The following is a 20,870-nucleotide window of genomic DNA, read 5'->3' as shown; positions in this document are numbered from 1 at the left end:
AATAATGAAGGGAAAACTCCAATATTTCACCCAGAATTTTGAATCTTTACACCAAATTGTCACCAAATAATTCTGAACCCCTCTTACTATGAAGATGAGGTTGTTGAATTAAATCAGAACATGAAAGTAGCAACAACAGAAGAAGACTAAATCGTAATATGAAAACTCACACCCCTTCAAAACTCACACCCCTTCAACAACATCTAAGAAGTCTGATGGCTTTTTATACATCAGCTTTCTAAATATTTTTAAAAAGCTCAGGGCTTCCTCACCTCTCCTTTCTCCATTCTTTTATTTTCCTAGTTAACCGTTCCTGGTTTCTGCAGTTATTCCTCCTGAGTAACATCAATCATAATACGAAAAATGTTCACAGAATTCACGCACAACATTTCTTTGGGGACTGGGTGAAATTGCCCCATTCCTGAACATTCATAGAAACAAAGCATCTGTTTTGAAGGTTTCCAAAAGCCAAGTAGCTGAAGACTTCATTCATTCATTATTTACTGAGTGCCTTTTATGTGCCAGGCACTAATAGAAATCTAAAGGTACAAAAACAGACATGGTCCCAGGAGAGCCACTGTACTGCACAACTTGGGGGGTGAGGATTGGTTCCCACTTTGGCCTGTGTGCATGGTCTTCTAAGTGTTGGGAAGTACACTGCTTGCAAGTCATAGAGAGTAGCTCTGAGTGCCTATCCTTTTATAATTTGTAGTCAGTCTAGTATTGGAGCTTAAACTCTAGTCTGCCAATCCAATGCTTACCAGGTGGATAGAGCAACACCACATTATCTCCTGCATTTAGATGTCCCTTATCACCAAGAACAGATGCAATCCTCTCTGCTCGCTTATGAAGCTGAAGGCAGCTGGCTGTGCATACAGTGGTTCCCTTTAAACAACAGAAAGGATAAGCGGGTCAAAGCTCAGAAAGGAAATAAACAGTAATAAGCACAGCCAATTCAACATCATACCTGAAAGGCTTGTGCTTTTGTAGATTATCCTTAGCAAGTTATCAATTCTAGTGAAAATTCCCTTAGCATCAAAGACGTGTGGGGCTGGACAGGGTGGCTCAAACCTGTAACGCTAGCACTTTGGGAGGATGAGGTGGGAGCACTGCTTGAGCCCAGGAGTTCAAGACAAGCCTGGGCAACACAGCAAGATCTCCTCTCCACTAAAAATACAAAAAAGAAATCAGTCAGGTGTGGTGGTGGCACATGCCTGTAGTCCCAGCTACTCAAGGGGCAGAAGTGGAAGGATCACTTGAGCCAATGCCTGGGCGACAGAGCGAGATTCTGTCTCAAAAAAGAAAAAATAATAATAAAATAAAATCAAACAAAAAGACATGTATGGGACGCTTTTTCTTTCTTTTTTTGTTCTGACATGGTCTTGCTGTTGCCCAAGCTGCAGTGCAGTGATGTAATCACAGCTCACTGCAGCTTGCAGCCTCAAACTCCTGGGTTCAAGCCATCCTCCTTCCTCATCCTTTCAAGAAGCTGGGATTATAGGCATGAGCCACCGTGCCTGGCTGACATTTTTAAATGAAATATGAGAACCCTAATGAATCTGTGGGCTTGAAAAGAAGCTCACTTCATGCAGAGGTGGAACAAGAAAGTCCCCAAATTTTCTGTCATAAAAGTAATGGTTCTTAAGATTTTTAACGACTTTTCAATAAGATGCACAACATATTCCTCTCATTAAGTTCTATTATTGCATAAATTCTCAAAAAAAAAAAAAATCAGATTCCAGGGGGATGGAGGAGATGGGTATACTTTGGATAAGTCCCCTAAGAGATCCAATAGGCACTTCCAGTCTTCCCCTGCTGGGGAGAAATACTACTATCCACATGGTCACAGACTTTGAGCCTGTGACTCAGACATCAACACAAAAATTCAGCTGACTCCCACAGAATGCATAACTTTAAAATACAATATATAGGCCGGGCACAGTGCCTCAAGCCTATAATCCTAGCACTTTGGGAGGCCAAGGCAGGTGGATCCTGAGGTCAGGAGTTCGAGACCAGCCTGACCAACATGTGAAAGCCCGTCTCTAATAAAAATATAAAAATCAGCTGGGCCTGGTGGTGGGCACCTGTAATCCCAGCTACTCGGGACGCTGAGGCAGGAGAATCGCTTGAACCCAGGAGGCAGAGGTTGCACTGAGCTGAGATGGCACCACTGCACTCCAGCCCAGGTGACAGAGCAAGACTCCATCTCAAAAAAATACATATATATATTTTTTTCTTTATATATATTTATATATTATAATGTAATATATATTATTATATTTAATATAATATATATATTTTTTCTTTTTTTATTTTTGAGACAGGGTCTTGCTCTGTCACCCAGGCTGGAGTGCAATGGCGCATTTTCGGCTCACTGCAACCTCCGCCTCCCGGATTCAAGCGATTCTCCTGCCTCGGCCTCCCGAGTAGCTGGGATTACAGGTGCCCGCCACCACGCCCAGCTGATTTTTATATTTTTAGTAGAGACAGCGTTTCACATGTTGGTCAGGCTAGTCTTGAACTCCTGACCTCAAGTGATCCACCCGCCTTGGCCTCCCAAAGTGTTGGGATTACAGGTGTGAGCCACTGTGCCCAGTCCTAAAATACAGTATTATAACGAACCATCCATCAGAAACCAGTAGTTAAATGTGCTCTTTGAGTAATTTTCAATTTGCTTTTTATCTGTTAGCAATAAATCATTTAACTATGTACCAGAAATAACTTAGGGTTTTTAAAATGCTGGTCTAAGGTCATTTTCTTCCTGGCAGAAATCAAATAATTAAAAGTCCCACTGGGTAAAAAAACTGTATGACATAACACATTGTGAACATCTGTGTATCTATGTAATTGCATTGTTGGCTCCATTTCTCCTATCAGAACTGAATAAAGAAGACGTGATTGTACCATAAGAAAAGAAAGTATTACATAGCACTCCAGGAGGTCTCAGTCCAATCTTAAAGTGATTGCACAGTTTACCCTCATATGCCAAAGCAAGGAGAAAGCCATTAACTCCTTCTTCAGAGATGGCAACAGAAATTTTCTGATGAAAGAAAGAGATCAAGAGTGCCTAAGATGGTCCTATAGTAGTCAGCTGATTAGATATACCATTGAATTTTTAATACCTTGGCATTTAACAGCATGAAGAGTACATGGTCAGGAGTCGCCTGGGCTCGCCACTGTAGGATCTCTGCCAGAAACTGGTGCTGAAGTCATAAACCAGAAAAAGGACTCAGGGTCAGCAACTTATAACAAGTCATATAATGCATCCCCCAGCTGCTACCTGCAGTAAGTTCTGTCCTTGACTTGACTGTAAGAAGGTAACACTTCAGGAACACTTACCTTCCTCACCAAATCATTCTCTTCTATTTGTCCCAGATCCCTTCCAGCAGCTTGTGCTATACGTTTTCCAGCAACCAGATTCCCAACCATCACGGAAGCAGGGCCTACACCTGTAAATAAATGCAAAACCCAACTCACTGGAGATGGCGATTCCAACTAAGTATCCAGAGCATTTCCAGACTGACCAAAACTGGTTCAAATATTCATCCAACAATACTGCCTGAACACTCTTCTAGGCACTGGGAACCCAGGAGCAAATAGGGCAAAGAGCCTGCATTCTGAAGAAGGGTAACCAAGAAATACATACACAAATAAATAAACATAAATAGTGCAAAGTACTGGAAAAAAACCAAACAAACAAGAAAACAGGAGGGACAGGGATTGGGGTGGAGGGAAGGAGGCAGCTATTCTAGTTTGGGGTATACAGGAATTTTTCACTCTGAGGAGGTGATAGCTGGTTGCACAGGTTCCTACTAATATTTTAATCTTCTCCAATCATAATAGAACCCTAAAAGAGGGCTTAACAATAAAGAATATCTGGCCTGGAAAGAAATTTGTCATCTACAAGGCCTGAGGGAGTTTATCTAGAATATTAAATTTGTTCAATTAAAAGTGAATAATGGCCGGGAATGGTGGCTCACGCCTGTAATCCCAGCACTTTGGGAGGGCGAGGCGGGAGGATCACAAGGTCAAGAGATGGAGACCATCCTGGCCAACATGGTGAAATCCCTTCTCTACTAAAAATACAAAAATGAGCTGGGCGTGGTGGTACACACCTGTAGTCCCAGCTACTCGGGAGGCTGAGGCAGGAGAATTGCTTGAACCCAGGAGGTGGAGGTTGCAGTGAGCCGAAATCGTGCCACTGCACTCCAGTATGGCGACAGAGCGAGACTACATCTCAAAAAAAAAAAAAAAAAAAAAAGTGAATAATGGCCAGGAACGGTGGCTCATGCCTGTAATCACAGCACTTTAGGAGGCCGAGGCGGACAGATCACTTGAGCCGAGGAGTTTGTGACCAGCCTGGGCAACATGGCAAAACCCTGTCTCTACAAATACAAAAATATTAGCCTGGTATGGTGGTAGACATCTTTAGTCCAGGCTACTTGGGAGGCTGAGGTGGGAGGATCATTTGTGCCAGAGTTCAAAGCTGCAGGCCAGGCGTGGTGGCTCACGCCTATAATCCCAGTACTTTGGGAGGCCGAGGCGGGCGGATCACAAGGTCAGGAGACCGAGACCATCCCGGCTAACGCGGTGAAACCCTGTCTCTACTAAAAATACAAAAAAAATTAGCCGGGTATGGTGGCGGGTGCCTGTAGTCCTAGCTGCTTGGGAGGCTGAGGCAGGAGAATGGCGTCAACCCAGGAGGCGAAGCTTGCAGTGAGCCAAGATCGCGCCACTGCACTCCAGCCTGGGCGACAGTGCGAGACTCCATCTCAAAAAAAAAAAAAAAAAAAAAAAAGCTGCAGTGAGCTGAGATCATGCCACCGCACTCCAGCCTGGGCAACAGTGTTAAGACCCTGTCTCAAAAAACAAAAACAAACGAACAAAAAACTCAGGGAAAAAAATGTCAGCAAGGCCAGGCGTGGTGGCTTGCTCCTGTAATCCTACCAGTTTGGGAGGCAGAGGGGGGCAGATCATTTGAGGACAGGAGTTTGACACCAGCCTGGCCAACATGGCAAAACCCCATCTCTACTAAAAATACAAAAATTAGCTGGGCGTAGTAGCTCACACCTGTAATCCCAGGTACTCAAGTGGTTGGATCCTGGGTGGCAGAGGTTGCAGTGAGCCAGATCACGCTACTGTACTCCAGCCTGGGCAACAGAGCAAACTCTGTCTCAAAAAAAAAAAAAAAAAAAAAAAGCAACAATTCGTAAATCTAGGATAGGCTACATGGGTGTTCCTCACTATACTATTCGTCTAACTTTTCCATAGGTTCGACACTTCAAAATAAACGGGGGAGCCCACTCCCTCTCTAGAAAAAAGTGCTAGGTTGCTCTCTTCATGGTCATCCGCCTCACGGAACTAAGAAGATGGCAAAAAGATGATAAAACAAAGCTTATTGCCAGCTAGGTTTTAAATAGGCTGATGCTATACTGGATTAATATTAAAAATCTTTTATTCTATCAAAATCTGTTGATCCTGAATATACTGAAACAGATGAGACAAAATCACTTAAATCATATAATCAATTTTCAAAGGGTAAATATTTGGGGAAGCTGGGTAAAGGGTGTAAGGAAAATCTTTGTACCATGTGGCAACTTTTTGTTTTGTTTTGTTTTGTTTTGTTTTTTGAGACAGAGTCTCGCTCAGTCGCCCAGGCTGGAGTGCAGTGGCACAATCTTGGCTCACTGCAAGCTCCGTCTCCCAGGTTCACGCCATTCTCCTGCCTCCCGGGTTCACGCCATTCTCCTGCCTCAGCCTCCCGACATGTGGCAACTTTTTTGTGTGAAATTATTTCAAAATGTAAAGTTTAAAAAATTTAAAAATAAAACAGAAAACTCAAAAAAGATAAAGTATTCCAATTGGTGAACAGTTTTAGTCTACAAAGTGTCTACTACAATTTTAAGTAAATATGCAATATTCCTCCCTAAGAAACTTCATGACAAATTATAGATATATCATGTTGGAGACAGCCTTTTAATACAGGCAGGGACTCAGAGTGTATTTATGTAAACTGTGCATTCTGGGATTTACATTATAAAATTAATAAAGGCATATTTTAAAAAGTGAATTTTGCAGTAGTTTAAAACAATAAAACTAATTCAGCAGCAGTTCCTGGATGTTCTTCTGTGTGCATTTCGTGAGTCTATGGGTCTGTGGGTCACAGAGAATGAAAGATACTGAAAGCAGTAACTCCAGGAAGCTAATTGCAGACACTGCTGTACCTGTAAATATGCCTTCTGATTTTCCAATAAAATTCTGTAAACGTCTTATGGCAAAAACTGCTAGTTATCAATTCCAGTATCCTATTCTTCTTCCTTAATAACAGAACCCCCAGTTTTTAGCTGGACACATGCCTGGAATAAAGACTATATTCTTTAGTGTGGGAGGATAATAAGTAAGAGGAAGTAATATGTGCAATTTCTAGAAAATATGTTAAAGGGAAGAGTATCCTTTCTTTACCTTTTCCTCCTACCTGCTGGCTGGGATGTAGAGGTTGGGGAGCCTAATGAGCCCTGGGGCAGTTGCTAATGATGGCTGTGGCCGATTATTTTATTTTCCCACAATCCTTCCTTTCTTTCTTGTCTTAGTTATGGCTGGATGGGATAAGTATACTTCATGGTCTCACTTGTTTAGGACAATGAAATGTTAGGACATGTGACACAAACAGAAGCTTTAAATATGCTCATGTGGCTTGGCTTGCTTTGTTGCTTCTGCCATCTGCCTTGAAAAAAATACGGCCCAGGTAGCTGCTGGTCCCATGATGAGGAGACACATGGAACAGCTCTGAACCCAACCTAAGCCTGGAGCCAAGTCAAGTCCAGTGGATCCCAGCCAAGCCAAGCAGATCCACATTCCATGAGTAAAAAGTAAATGCTTGCTACTTCAAGGCACTGAGTTTTAGGGTTATTTGTTCTGTAGCGTATCTATGACAAGAGGTGACAGACAAAACACCAGAGCAAAAAGATGGGAAGCTAGAAGAACATGATTGAGGAGTGACTATCCTAGCCTTTGGACTACCTAGCTCTGAACTTTTTTTACCTGACAAAAATATGCTTGTTTCTTGCCTGAGCTGCAATTTATGTTTTTCTGCAACCTGCAGCCAAGACTAGTCCTAACAAACACATTCTTTCTTTCTACAATAGCTCCAAAAGCATCTCAAGGATATGTTTGCCTCCGGGCTGCCTTAACACACCTTTTCCATCTTCCCTTTCTTTTTTGTTGAGACAGGGTCTGGTTCTGTCGCCCAGATTAGAGTGCAATGGCGCAATCTCGGTTTACTGCAACCTCCCAGGCTCAAGCCATCCTCTGTCAGCCTCTGAAGTAGCTGAGACTACAGGTGTGCACCACCGGGCCTGGCTAATTTTTTCCATTTTTTTTTGTAGAGACAGGATTTTACCATGTCGCCCAGGCTGTTTTCGAGCTCCTGGGCTCACACGACCCTCCCACCTTGGCCTCCCAAAGTCTTTGTAAACTAATTGTAGAGAAAGAATCACACTGAGAGAACCCAGCTTCTTGAAGTTGGAATTTTAGTGCCAGGTCTTGGAAGCCAGCATATTACCTGGTTGTTTTTGCCGGGGCTTTGGCAAGTTTGTCACACATGTATGGGGGCACATGAGGATGTTGCAAGGATGCAGTGATCCCTCCAGAAAGAGTTGTTTCGTCTGAGATATATGGATTCCTCCTAGTGGAGTTTTTGGCAATGTATTGGCTGGCACCAGAGCAAGACAATAAACCCCCACTTGATGAATGCTATCGATCGCCTAGAAAAATACAAACAAAAATACTCAGTGAGATCACTTCTATTACATTTGACATATTCCTGGTATAATCCATTATTTTACGCTACAATTTTTCTTACTCTACCCATTCTAGATCTAGAATCTGGCAGATCACTAAGATTCCATATATCTAGAGATTTAAAGATAATCATTAAGATAATACACATCTTTCAGCTGTGGCAGAGATTAAAAGAAGAGAGGTAAGATACAATCTAAATGGACAAAGGTGGATATTGACTTGCAACTCAGTATGTTCTCTTTTTAAGTTTTTATTCTTTTTAGAGACAGGGTCTCATTCTGTCAGCTGGGGTGGAATGCAATGGCACAAGCCATGACAGCCCCAAATTCCTAAGCTCAAGTGATCCTCCTGCCTCAACCTCCCAAGAAGCTGGGACTACAGGGATGCACCACTGCGTCTGGCTAATTTAAAATAATTTTTTTTCTTTTCTTTTTTTTAATTTTAAGGTTTTTGGAGAGATGGGGTCTCACTGTGCTGCCTAGGCTGGTCTTGAACTCATGGCCTCAAGTGATGCTCCCACCTTGGCCTCCCAAAGTGCTGAGATTACTGTCATACCATGCCCAGCCAATATGTTCTCTCTTAAGTGATAATGTCAAAAACCTAGAAATTTGTTTTGGTTCTTTTAATCTTTTAGCTATCAGCCAACAAAGCCTAATTAAACAGAAGTAAGGTATTTTTATTATGAACACAACAGCAGCTCTCTAAAGGAGCCCCCACTTAAGTGATTCACCATGTTACCATGCATCTCCTCTGAAAAACATCTGGGGTGAGGCCCATAGCACACCGAGCATTGGAGGCCACAAGCTACCCTGAGCGTACCTGTGCTCGCAGCCATGTAACTGCATGTTTGCTTAAAGTCAGCTGTGTTCCTACACTGTTTGACAGCTGTTCTTGTTGTTTTCACATAATGTAATTAAATATTATGTTAACTGACAAAATACAAATGCAAAAACACAGAAGGAGTTATGCTTTGGAAAGACACACTAAAAGTTAGCTCCTAAAAAACTTCTGTTCATAGGTCAGGCAAGTTAATCCTAAAAGTGAAGATACCCATTCAAGTCATTTTTCAAATACCCACATTCTGGTGCTAACTTACAGAAAATAAAACCAGGCCGGGTATGGTGACTCAAGTCTGTAATCTCAGCACTTTGGGAGGCCAAGGTGAGAAGACAGTTTGAGTTCAGGAATTTGAGAATAGCCTGGGCAACATGGCAAAACCCCATCTCTATATTTTAATTTTTAAAAAAATTTAAAAAGAAAAACCAGAAACTGAAGACAATGTATTTTGATATAGTTTATAGAAGTAAGCCGACCTGGACTTCAGGTTGGTATATTCGTAATCACACTTCTCTACATCAAAGGAATACATACTTAGATATTTTCTATTAAAATTTAATACTTGAAGAATTTCTCATTTTTATGGAACCAATCAACTTTATTTTATTTTTTTGAGACAGAGTCTTGCATTGTCACCCAAGCTGGAGTCCGATGGCGTGATCTCAGCTCACTGCAACCTCCGCCTCCTGGGTTCAAGCAATTCTCCTGCCTCAGTCTCCGGAGTAGCTGAGATTACAGGTGCCCGCCACCAAGCCCGGCTAATTTTTTGTATTTTTATTAGAGACGGGGTTTCACTATGTTGGCTAGGCTGGTCTCGAACTCCTGACCTCGTGATCCACCTGCCTCGGCCTCCCAAAGTGCTGGGATTACAGGTGTGAGCCACCGTGCCCAGCCCTTTTTCGTTTGTTTGTTTTTTTAAGATGGAGTCTCGCTTTTTCTCCCAGGCTGAAGTGCAGTGGCGCAATCTCGGGTCACCACAACCTCCACCTCCCGGGTTCAAGCAATTTTCCTGCCTCAGCCTCCCAAGTAGCTGGGATTACAGGTGTGTGCCACCACATCTGGCTAATTTTTGTATTTTTAGTAGAGACAGGGTTTTACCACGTTGGCCAGGCTGGTCTTGAACTCCTGATCTCAAGTGATCTGCCTGCCTCGGCCTCCCAAAGTGCTGGGATTACAGACATGAGCCATCATGCCTGGCTAAAACTGACCAACTGTTAATACTAGTTAGGAGGTTTCTACCGTATTACCCATAGGTCTTATTGAACAAGAGATACAATCTTAGAAGTAGAATGAACCCACAGTTATAAAGGTCAAACATAAAAAAAGGACAAGGCTGTATGTATGTATGTATGAATGACAGGGTCTTGCTCTGACACCCAGGCTGGAGTGCAATGGTATGACCACAGCTCACTATAACCTCAAATTGCTGGGCTCAAGTGATCCTCCCACCCCAGCCTCTCAAGTAAGTGGGACCACAGGCAGTGGCGTCTAGCTAATTTATTTATTCATTTGTTTATTCTTTGTAGAGCAAAGGGTCTTGCTCTGTTGTCCCAGGCTGGTCTTGAACTCAAGTGACCCTCAGCTTCAGCTTCCCAAATTGTTGGGACTAGAAGCATGAGCCACCATGCGTGGCCAAGGCCTTTTATTAAAACAATTTAAGGAGCCAGGTGCAGTGACTCACGCCTGTAATCCCAGCACTTTGGGAGGCCAAGGTGGGTGGATCTCCTGAGGTCAGGAGTTTGAGACCAGCCTGGCCAGCGTGGTGAAACCCCGTCTAGTAAAAATACAAAAATTAGCTGGGTGTGGTGGCGAGTGCCCGTAATCCCAGCTACTTGGAAGGCTGAGGCAGGAGAATTGCTTGAAACCGGGAGGTGGAGGTTGCAGTGAGCCGAGATCGTGCCACTGTACTCCAGCCTGGGAGACAAGAGTGAAACTCTATCTCAAAAACAAAACAAACAAACAAACAAACAAAAATTTAAAAGGGCAAAAGAATAAACTTGAAAATCACAATCCTCAGACTATCCTACCAACCAATACAGATGACTGGGAAATGGAAAGTCTGGCAGAGTTCCTAAGTTTCTGTGTTTTTTTTAGAATACACAGAAAGTTAGCAAATGTGCTACATGTAGCCTGAATTCCTCATTAAAAACGCATCTGATAAGTCATCTACTAACTGCCTTTCCTTAGAAAGTGCTGAGTTAGGTATTTAGTTTATGTTATACACGGACCTGGAATTCAACAACCTCTGGCCTTTAATCTATTAGAATACATGGCGTCATTTACTGTTCTGCTATGGACTCGAATGCTCCGAGCTGGTAAGTTACAAAGACTGCGAAAAGAATGGCCTGTTATCTCATGCCCAAATTGGAACCCAAGTGACTTTCACAAGAGTTTGGATTAGTAAATTGGCACTGTATTTAATTCCTATAGTTGCTTTCCAGGGAAAAGTAGCAAATATCTTGGGAGATGTCAGGTATACTCACTTTTCTATAATAGAAGAAAATACGTAATTCACCAAAGCTTCTACCATTACATGCCCCAAAGTTCATTCTGAACAAAATAAGGTTTCTGACTGAAAATATGATTGGTATGAAAAATATTCTCTTTGCACGTCTGCCCCTTAGCCATCTTTCAGAGATCTGCCCCGTTCTACCTTCTTCATAGTCTTTCCTGACTAGTCTATCTTCAATATATTTTCTTTTCTGATTTTCTACTACAAATAGCCTACACAGTATCAGCTGATAATTCAGAATTACAGACCCTGAGGATAGAAAGAAATATTAAAAGTCATCTAGCAGCCAGGTGACGTGGCTCACATCTATAATCCCAGCACTCTGGGAGGCCGAGGTGGGTGGATCACCTGAGGTCAGGAGTTCGAGACCAGCCTGGCCAACATGGCGAAAATCTGTCTCTACTAAAAATACAAAAAATTAGCTGGGCATGGTGGCAGGTGCCTGTAATTCCAGCTACTTGGGAGTCTGAGACAGGAGAATCGCTTGAACCCAGGAGGCGGAGGTTGCAGTGAGTCAAGATCGTGCCATTGCACTCTACCCTGGGCAACAGGAGAGAAACTCCATCTCAAAAAAAAAAACAAAACAAAACAGTCATCTAGCAATACCACCATCTCATGCTTGCATTGTTTCTACAACACTGCTATTAACTAGCAGTTAATAAATTCAAATTCCCCAAGTAGAGAAGTTACAGATCTTGGGAAGACTTCCACTGATACCTAAGTACAGCAAGGACAGGCCACACTTTCTTTGGACCATCCACTTAGCCAACAAATATTTACTGAGCCTACTATGACGTTCGCTAGCATAGCTACCGGGCTCTGGGGATCGAGCCCTGAACAAAAGAGACAAAAAAGTCTTGGCCTTGCCTTATATTACAGTGGATGTAGAAAACAATAAATATACAAGATGTTAAGTGCTAAGTAGAAAAATAAAGAAGAATGAAGGGACAGAGAATGAAAGGGAATATTAATTGAGAGGAAGTGGTCCTCTCTAATTGGAGACTATTCTTACAATCTTTTATTTTTTGAGAGATGGGTTTTTGCTATGTTGCGCAGGTTGGAGTGCAGTAGCTATTCACAGGTGCGACCATAGTGCACTACAGCACTGGCTCAAGCGATCCTCCTACCTCAGCTTTCTGAGTAGCTGGGGCTACTGGTGCCTGTCACAGCACCTGGCTCATTATTACTATCATTATTATTATTATTTTGAGCCAGGGTCTTCCTCTGTCACCCAGGCTGAACTGTAGTGGCATGATCATAGCTCACTGCAGTGCTGACCTACTGGGTCAAGTGATCCTCCCACCTCAGCCTTCCAAGTAGCTGGGATCACAGGTGCACACAACTATGCCTGGATAATTTTTTTTTTTTTTTGAGACAGAGTCTTGCTCTGTCCCCCAGGCTGGAGTGCAGTGGCGCGATCTCGGCTCACTGCAAGCTCCGCCTCCTGGGTTCAAGCCATTCTCCTGCCTCAGCCTCCCGAGTAGCTGGGACTACAGATGCCTGCCACCACGCCCAGTTAATTTTTTTTTTTTGTATTTTTAGTAGAGACGGGGTTTCACCGTGTTAGCCAGGATGGTCTCGATCTCCTGACCTCGTGATCCGCCCATCTCGGCCTCCCAAAGTGCTGGGATTACAGGCGTGAGCCACTGCGCCTGGCCTATGCCTGGATAATTTAGAAAAAAACTTTTGGTAAAGATGGATAATAACAATCACCATCATTATTTACTGAGTGCAGGTACTATATACTTCAATTAATTACCTCATTTAATCCTTCCAACAGCTCTATAAAACAGATAATTTTATCCTACTTTGCAGGTTAGGAAATAAACTCAGTGAGGTTAAATGACTTGCCCAAGGGCACATATCTGGTAAGAAGTGGAGCTGGGATTCCAAGTCTATGATTCTAAGTGAAGACTAGGCTCTTGTCATCACTCTAGCCTGCTCCCCACCACAGACATATTGCTTAGACTGTGCCCAAAGCATTCTCCTTCCCTCATGGTTTATCTCACCTAGCATCTCTAGCCCCATAGGAAAGCTCCTTCAGAGTAAAGCTAATAGCTGTATTTTCTTGGATCCCTCACACCATCGGCACCACTTATGACACACAGTAAAACTGTGACTGACTGTTGACAAGTGGATTGATTACTGCCAGAGATGTGTTCCACATATGACAGTTAAAACTTTCACAAGTAGTAAACACTCAGGCATGAAAGAATTTGCTGAGGCAAGTCAATTCCATTATTTTTGGCAACCTGAGCAGAAAAATACCATGTGGTCCACAAGGAGAAATGGTATTAATTATCTGATTTTGCTAGTAGTACCCAGAGTATGTGAGCAATGATTGGCAAGAAGTAAGGTGGCATTACTGGCTGATCGAAGAAAATGAAATGCTTAGGCAGTGGTTGCTGCCACCGCTGACCTGACACAGACCCCAAAGTGTGCTCACCTGCAGCACGCGGCTCATCCACTGGAAACTATCTTCCTCAGAAGCATCAGGTCTTTGTTCCGCAACCACCACAATGCGCTCATCATAAAATACAGACACAGAAAACACAGCAATTCTAAGAGAGACAGATCAAACACATCAGGACTCCCTTCACAACCAGTCCTATTTGTTTTGTTTAACTGGAATTACAGAGAGGAGACAACCCCACCATGCTACCCAAAACGAGTAGCTTAGAAAAGAAAATGTCATAATCATTACTCTCAAAATGAGCATTCATTCATTTAAATAATATGTATTAAGCACAACTGTCATGAATGTTGGGGACATAGTGGTAAATAAGACAAAGTTCTTGTCTTTGTGGCACTTATATGTTAGAGACAGAACAAACAAATAAATACAGAATAATGCCATGTTGCAATATACAGGGGGTGGAGTGGTGTGTAGGGTGGCGTATTACTGAGGGCAGGGTGGCTCGGGGGGCGCCTCCCTGAGGAGCGGACATTGGAGCAGAGACCTGAATGAGGTGAGGACGCGAGCCACGCGAAGATCTGGAGGAAGAGGTTTCCGGGCAGAAGGAACGGAAAGCGAAAAGGTTCTGAGGTAGGGACGAGCTTGGCAGGTTTGAGGAACAGCAAGAAGGCCAGTGTGCCTGGAGCAAAGTGGTGAAGCAGAGACCGGGAGGGAGAGAGGTCAGACCCAGGCCAGGGCAGATCCCAGTGGACCTGAGAGGCCATGGGAGGGAGGATGAAGTTGGTTCTGAGGGAGGTCTCCGCTCAAATGTCCCCTTACTAGCGAGGCACTCCCAGGACACCTCATAGAAACTGGCAGGCCACCCCCACCCCCATGTGTTTTTCTCCATAGCACTTGTCACTGTCTCACATGTTATCTATTGCCCTGTTTATGTGGTTCCTGTCTGTCTCCCACAACAAGCATGTGAGCTTCACAAGGGCAGAGACTTGGCCTGTTTTGTTCACTGCCACAGCCGAAGCCTCCAGGACAGCGGCACAGTGTTGGCACCCAATGAATATTTGTTGAATGAATGCATGAAAGAATGGGAAGGCACCGGAGAGCAGAGTCTGCCGGCATGTCTGCCTGACACCCTCCTTCCTTCCTTCCACATACATTCACCCAACACCTACCAGGTGTCCGGCACTACTGATTGCTGGGATATGACTGTGACCAAAGGCAGATCTAGTGCCCCATGGACTTTACATCTCATAGGAAGCCACACCACTACAAAAAAAACTATACATTTCAGAAACTGTTTCACTAATTTTTTGTACTTCTTAAACTAAAGGGACACTAAGTTTGCCTTAAAGAGACACATCTACGATTGCAAATTGCTGAACAGGACATCAACTACTCAAATATGTAGCAAATATCTTTTCTTACATTAATAAGCAAAGAAAAAAGATATCTAATTGACTTTGTCCATGGAATTTGAAATTATGCACTATGTCAATCCCCACATTAAAACGGTATAATTTAATTAGAAACAAGAGAAACAATTCTTAGATGTAAATGCCTACAGAGTAGCATCTATATCAGTTAGTCTGAATGGCACTACTTTTGCATTGAAGAAATGCAGGAAGTTAATGTTTTAGAATTCTCCTCAGTCCTCAGGATTCAACAAATCTGAAGTTAAATCTGAAGTAAAGGATATAGTTGCATCTTAATCCTCTTAGTTACAGCTGAAGCACCAGATGTTGTAAAATATATATTAAAAGCCAGGCTAAGAAGAAGAAGAAGAAAAAAAAAAGCCAGGCTTATGCAATGCTTAACAAAAACAATCTGATCACTTGGAAAGAGAACCTACAAAATACCACTGAAATCACCATGTGAAGATGTATTTAGATTCCATTAAAAGGTGCTAACATTTGAATTTTGTACTACTCACCTTCCTCTATAAACAGTCTTTATTGATTCTACAGCCAATCCAGTAGCAACAATGTCATCAGCATTATGTCTTCGACCACTAACCATCAGTAAGCCATCCATTTTCCCAACCACGAACACCAAACTACCCTGAAAGGTAATGATGATTTACCTTGATTTCCATGATTTAAATAGTAAAACAGACATCTTTTAACTTCCTGCCTTTAAATAAATCTCATTTAAAAAGTATTAAAAACACAACTGCCATATTTTACGGATTCTAGAGAAAGCATTTCACATCTTGACATCTCTGAAATCAGCTGGGAAAAGAGTGGCATCTTACAGCCAATGAAGTCTCACAGGATACCTAAGAAGGGAATTTACTCATATTTATTTTAGGGAGGAACTTCATTAAGAAAGCAACTAGGATTCCACCCAAGCATAGCTGATTTTCCCAGCCATGATTTATGTGTTAGTTTGCTTATGTTTCTATTCAGAGGATACAGAGGAAGAAAAATGTATTCATTTACTGTTGGAATTAGGAGGAGATTAAAACAGTATAAATAGGAGAATGACCGTCTCAGGTTGGTAAGGGTAATGCTGTTTCCATCCGGCAGTATTAGAAATAGGCTAATAAAGAAAGGTCTAAGGAATGCTGTAGGTGCCTTTCTTTTCCAATAAGAAAACAAAGCAGCAGGGAACTACTATGAAATCCCCAAAAGCATCACTGTATAAATAATCTTCCCAGACTCATTTGCAGCAAATTAACTTTTCTCATTCATTACAGAATTTCTAAATTTCTTAGTCCATTTACATACATTCACCTACCTAGCAGTTATTTCCACGTGAATGTCACTCACTGATTTACTAAGCACAATGTAGTGCCCTACACAGTGACTGGGCCATGTAAGACATAACCCATATCCTCAACAAGCTACTGGTTCAACCCATATGTCAGGAAAAAAGCAGCCATTTCCAACAAAGGCTGAAAAGCCACAGTGTTGGTAAGAGAATGAGACAGTCACTGTCATTCCTTCAATGTCCATTTCTCCATTTCGTTCACAGTAGGATAATTTTTAGCTGGGCATGGCTGACCAAAATAAAGATTGCATTCCAGTCTCCCTTGAAGCTAGGTGTGGCTGCAGGACTAGTTCAGACCAATAAGTGAAAGTGTTGCACAGCAGCTTCAAGGAATCTTCCTTTAAAGAGGAGGACTGCACCTTTCCCTGTTTCTTGGAATACAGATGAAAGGCTTGGAGCTCCATTTTGGACATCAATCATGGAACTGTAAGCTAAAAGGAGGTGGGTCTTTGAGAATTTCCTGGTGCTAAGTGAAAAAGTCAAGACAAAGGTGTAGAGAGTTGATTCTCCTAGATCTATGTCCTCACCCACCCTGCCCCTCCATTAAATGGCAAGGAAGAAATAAAATAAAATTAGATCTCTTATATGACTGAAGATGTTAAGTGGAAAAGAAGACAGGGTAGGAGGTAATTAGAGATGAATGGAGTAATATGGGCTTAGCTAGGAATAATGACTATTACTTACAAAATAAAATCCTACTTCCCATGATGTCATGCAAAGCCCCTCCATGACCTAGATCTCTGCCATCCTCTGGCTCATCAAGTTCACTGTGAGCTCTTTGAGAACAGGCTTTTAATGTCCTGATTGTCTCTAATCTTGTACCTATAAATACTGTGTTCTGAATAACAAACTTTTTTGTTTTTTTTTTGTTTGTTTTTTGAAATGAAGTCTCGCTCTGTTGCCCAGGCTGGAGCATAGTGGCGTGATCTCCACCTCCTGGGTTTAAGCGATTCTCCTGCCTCAGCCTCCCAAGTAGCTGGAATTACAGGTACATGCTACCACACCCAGCTAATTTTTGTATTTTTAGTAGACACAGAATTTGCCATGTTGGCCAGGCTGGTCTCGAACTCCTGACCTCAGGTGATCCGCCCACCTCGGCCTCCCAAAGTGCTGGGATTACAGGCATGAGCCACCACACCCGGCCCAAACTGTTTTCACTCAAAGGATCACTATTACACATCACATAGTGCCAATCATTTACATGAAAATGCTCTGTATACTATGTATTATAGTTTGTCTTTGCTACTGAAGATAACTTTTTCCAGCACTCTTCTAACTTATTGCAACATGTTAATCAAATCAGAGCGAGATAGTGAGAATAAGTGAAAAGAGTTCTTAAAATAAAAAAAGTCTCATCATGTCTTCTGATCTCAGCGGGGAAAAAAAGAAAATAAAAAATGTCTTAGTTTGAAGGAGTCAAATGAACTTGGGTAGTGGAAATGATAAACACTAACTCATTTTATGACATCCTTACAAGAACTGCTTTAAATATAAGTGAAGTGGTTCTGTAACACTCTTGGACTAATCAGAATTTGTTCTGTTCTGTGAATTAAAGTCCAAATATTTGGATCAAATGTAACAAAATCAACATGAAAGCATCACTTACCGGCCCTACAAACCCCAGCAATCCTGATCGGATGAATGGCACATCCCCAACAGGAGAGCCTGCAGAATTCACTGGAATTACCTAAGAGACAAAATGAAGTAAGTGAAAAACTTTGCTTTTTCTTAGAAAGTATATGTGATTTTTAAAAAGTTTTATTAAAATACATGCTCAGTGAAAAAATAATGTAATAGTGAATCCAGTAATTCCATCCCTTTAGAGATAAGAAATAATTACAATTTATTGTTTACCTCTCTAGACTTTTAAGAAGATACATATATAAATATATATATAAAACATATAAAAAATATGTATATATAAATAAATGTGCTGAGTTTTTTTTTTTTTCAAACAGATATTATACTTTTTGCAACTTGCTTTTCCACGAAATATATCTCAGATACCCTTCCAAGTTAGTAAGAGTTGACTTAGCCCACTCAGCCACTCCATGGGGGACAGGACAGCATAGTCGTTGGTGTCAATTCAATTTCTGGCTCTGCCACTTACTAGTAACATAGACTTTAGGCAAGTGCCTGGATTTTTCTGAGCCCTGTTTTGCAGCCACTTAATGGAGTACTCTGTGCCTCTCACAGGCTTGGAGTAAAGATTAAGGAATGCAAAAAGATTTGCAGAAACAAGTACGGTATCTGACCCAGAATCAGTATTCAGGAAATTGTAGCTATTAGAATGTAACCAGTCTTTTATTACAGCTGGATAGGCCATTATAATTTTTCACTATTATAAAGGTGCTTTAATGAATATTGCTGTATTCATTTATGCATCTGTACAAAAGGCACGAGTCTTTTCAATTTTAATTGGCTGGCCTATAAAACTGTCGTATCCATTTACACTCATTAATATCATACTAGAATGTCTGGTTCTTCCCATGTCCTGGCTAGTACTATGTGCTATCCATTTTTCCAAACTTTGCCAATCTGGTACCGAAAAATATATCCTATTGTTAATTTATTAAAAAAAAAATCTTTTTTTTTTTTTAAAATGAGATATAGTCTCACTTTGTTGCCCAGGCTGGAGTGCAATGGTGCAATCATAATTCACTGCAGCCTCAAAATCCTAGGCTCAAACAATCCTCCCACCTCAGCCTCCCAAGGATCTGGGAGTACAGGTGCGGGTTACCACGCCTAGCTAATTTTTAATTCGTTTGTAGAGATGGGTCTCGCTACATTGTCCAGAGGTATTGAACTCCTAACCTCAAACAATTCTCCTGCCTTGGCTTCCCAAAGTGTTGGGATTACAGGAGTGAGCCACCATACTCAGACTTAAAAAAATTTTTTTAAATTCAAGACAGTAGACATTAATCCCATTATTGCTTTAATTGCATTTTATAAGTAATATGTCTGAATTTCTTTTCCTTCGTTTGCCGAGCATTTGTATTTCTTTTGTGAGTAGCCTATTCATGTCTCTTACCTATTTTTTCTACCTGATAGCTGCTCCCCACCCCTCCTTTTTTTTTTTTTTTTTTTTTTTTAAGAGATGAGGTCTCACTATGTTGCCCAGGCTGGAATGCAGTGGCTAGTCACAGGCGTAATAATGGTTCAGTACAGCCTTGAACTCCTCGGCCCATGTGATCCCCCGTGTCACACTCCAGAATAGCTGGGACTACAGGTGTGAACCACAGCACCCGGATAATTTTTTTTTTAAGACAGAGTTTTTTGCTCTGTTGCTCAGGCTGGAGTGCAATGGCACAATCTCGACTCACTGCAACCTCCGCCTCCCGGGTTCCAGAGATTCTCCTGCCTCAGCCTCCTGAGTAGCTGGGATTACAGGCACCTGCCACCACACCCGGCTAAGTTTTGTATTTTCAGTACACAAGGTTTCACCATGTTGGCCAGGCTGGTCTTGAACTCTTTTTTTTTTGAGACAGAGTCTCGCTCTGTCGCCCAGGCTGGAGTGCAGTGGCACAATCTTGGCTCACTGCAAGTTTCACCTCCCGGGTTCAAGCCGTTCTCCTGTGTCAGCCTCCCGAGTAGCTGGGACTACAGGCGCCCGCCACCATGCCTGGCTAATTTTTTGTATTTTTAGTAGAGACGGGGCTTCACCATTCACAGGATGGTCTCGATCTCCTGACCTCGTGATCCGCCCGCCTCGGCCTCCCAAAGTGCTGGGATTACAGGTGTGAGCCATCGTGCCCAGCTGGTCTTGAACTCTTGACCTCAGGTGATCCACCCACCTCAGCCTCTCAAAGTGCGAGGATCACAGGCATGAGCAACTGCTCCCAGCCTCATCTGTATAATTCTTAAAATTTATTTTTTATATAAAATAATAATTATAACAACACTAAATGCTTATCAGTACCAGGAACAGGTTTACTTGCTTTACAGTTAATCCTCAAATTAATCCTATAGAAACAGCATTAGTATTTCCATTTTACAGATGAAGTGAGTTTCACTTGCCTCAAATAGCTAGCACATGGGAGTGATGGAAAATCAACTGTTGTCATACATGTCACAAAAGTTTTTCTCCCTGGTAGCATTATCTATAAAATATTTTTATTTTCTGACTAGTCAATACTAGATCTTGGCCTGGTGTGGTGGCTCATGCCTGTAATCCCAGCACTTTGGGACGCCGAGGAGGGTGGATCACCTGAGGTCAGGAGTTCAAGACCAGCCTGGCCAACACGGTGAAACCCCATCTCTACTAAAAATACAAAAAAACTAGCCAGGCGTGGTGGCAGGCACCTGTAATCCCAGCTACTTGGGAGGCTAAGGCAGGAGAATTGTTTGAACCCGGGAGGCAGAGGTTGCAGTGAGCCGAGATTGCACCACTGCACTCCGCCTGGGCGACAGAGCAAGACCCCACCTAAAAAACAACAACAACAACAAAAAAACAAACCACAAAACAAATTTAAAACCTAGATCTTTTCTCCAGTGAAATGTTAACTACATTGGTAAACTCTCTCAGGATTTAAATTTAAG

At 42.2% G+C, this 20,870-nt stretch overlaps 1 protein-coding gene across 1 annotated transcript in view, besides 1 other annotated feature; it reads right to left on the bottom strand.

Annotated features, from left to right (window-relative positions):
• DIP2B (disco interacting protein 2 homolog B) overlaps positions 1–20,870 on the bottom strand; it is a 243,673-nt gene that overhangs the window by 26,500 nt on the left and 196,303 nt on the right. Inside the window, exons 20-26 of the mRNA NM_173602.3 lie at positions 17,938–18,018; positions 15,493–15,620; positions 13,596–13,710; positions 7,562–7,763; positions 3,340–3,449; positions 3,123–3,203; positions 762–885 (exon numbers count right to left, since the gene is read on the bottom strand). Of these exons, the coding sequence (NP_775873.2) occupies positions 762–885; positions 3,123–3,203; positions 3,340–3,449; positions 7,562–7,763; positions 13,596–13,710; positions 15,493–15,620; positions 17,938–18,018 (841 nt within the window). The remainder of the gene's footprint in view (positions 1–761; positions 886–3,122; positions 3,204–3,339; positions 3,450–7,561; positions 7,764–13,595; positions 13,711–15,492; positions 15,621–17,937; positions 18,019–20,870) is intronic.
• Positions 4,006–4,196: a silencer, noted in NCBI's record as "fragment chr12:51111745-51111935 (GRCh37/hg19 assembly coordinates)". NCBI's record gives its function as "represses an EF-1alpha promoter that drives an FKBP-Casp9 reporter gene in an ReSE screen in K562 erythroleukemia cells {active_cell/tissue: K562}" and the evidence as "EXISTENCE:reporter gene assay evidence [ECO:0000049][PMID:32094911]".

The sequence above is a fragment of the Homo sapiens genome, chromosome 12 (genome assembly GCF_000001405.40).
Source record: "Homo sapiens chromosome 12, GRCh38.p14 Primary Assembly".
NCBI lineage: Eukaryota > Metazoa > Chordata > Mammalia > Primates > Hominidae > Homo > Homo sapiens.
The sequence above is the reverse complement of the archived record's forward strand: the minus strand, read 5'-3'. Positions and strand labels throughout refer to the sequence as shown.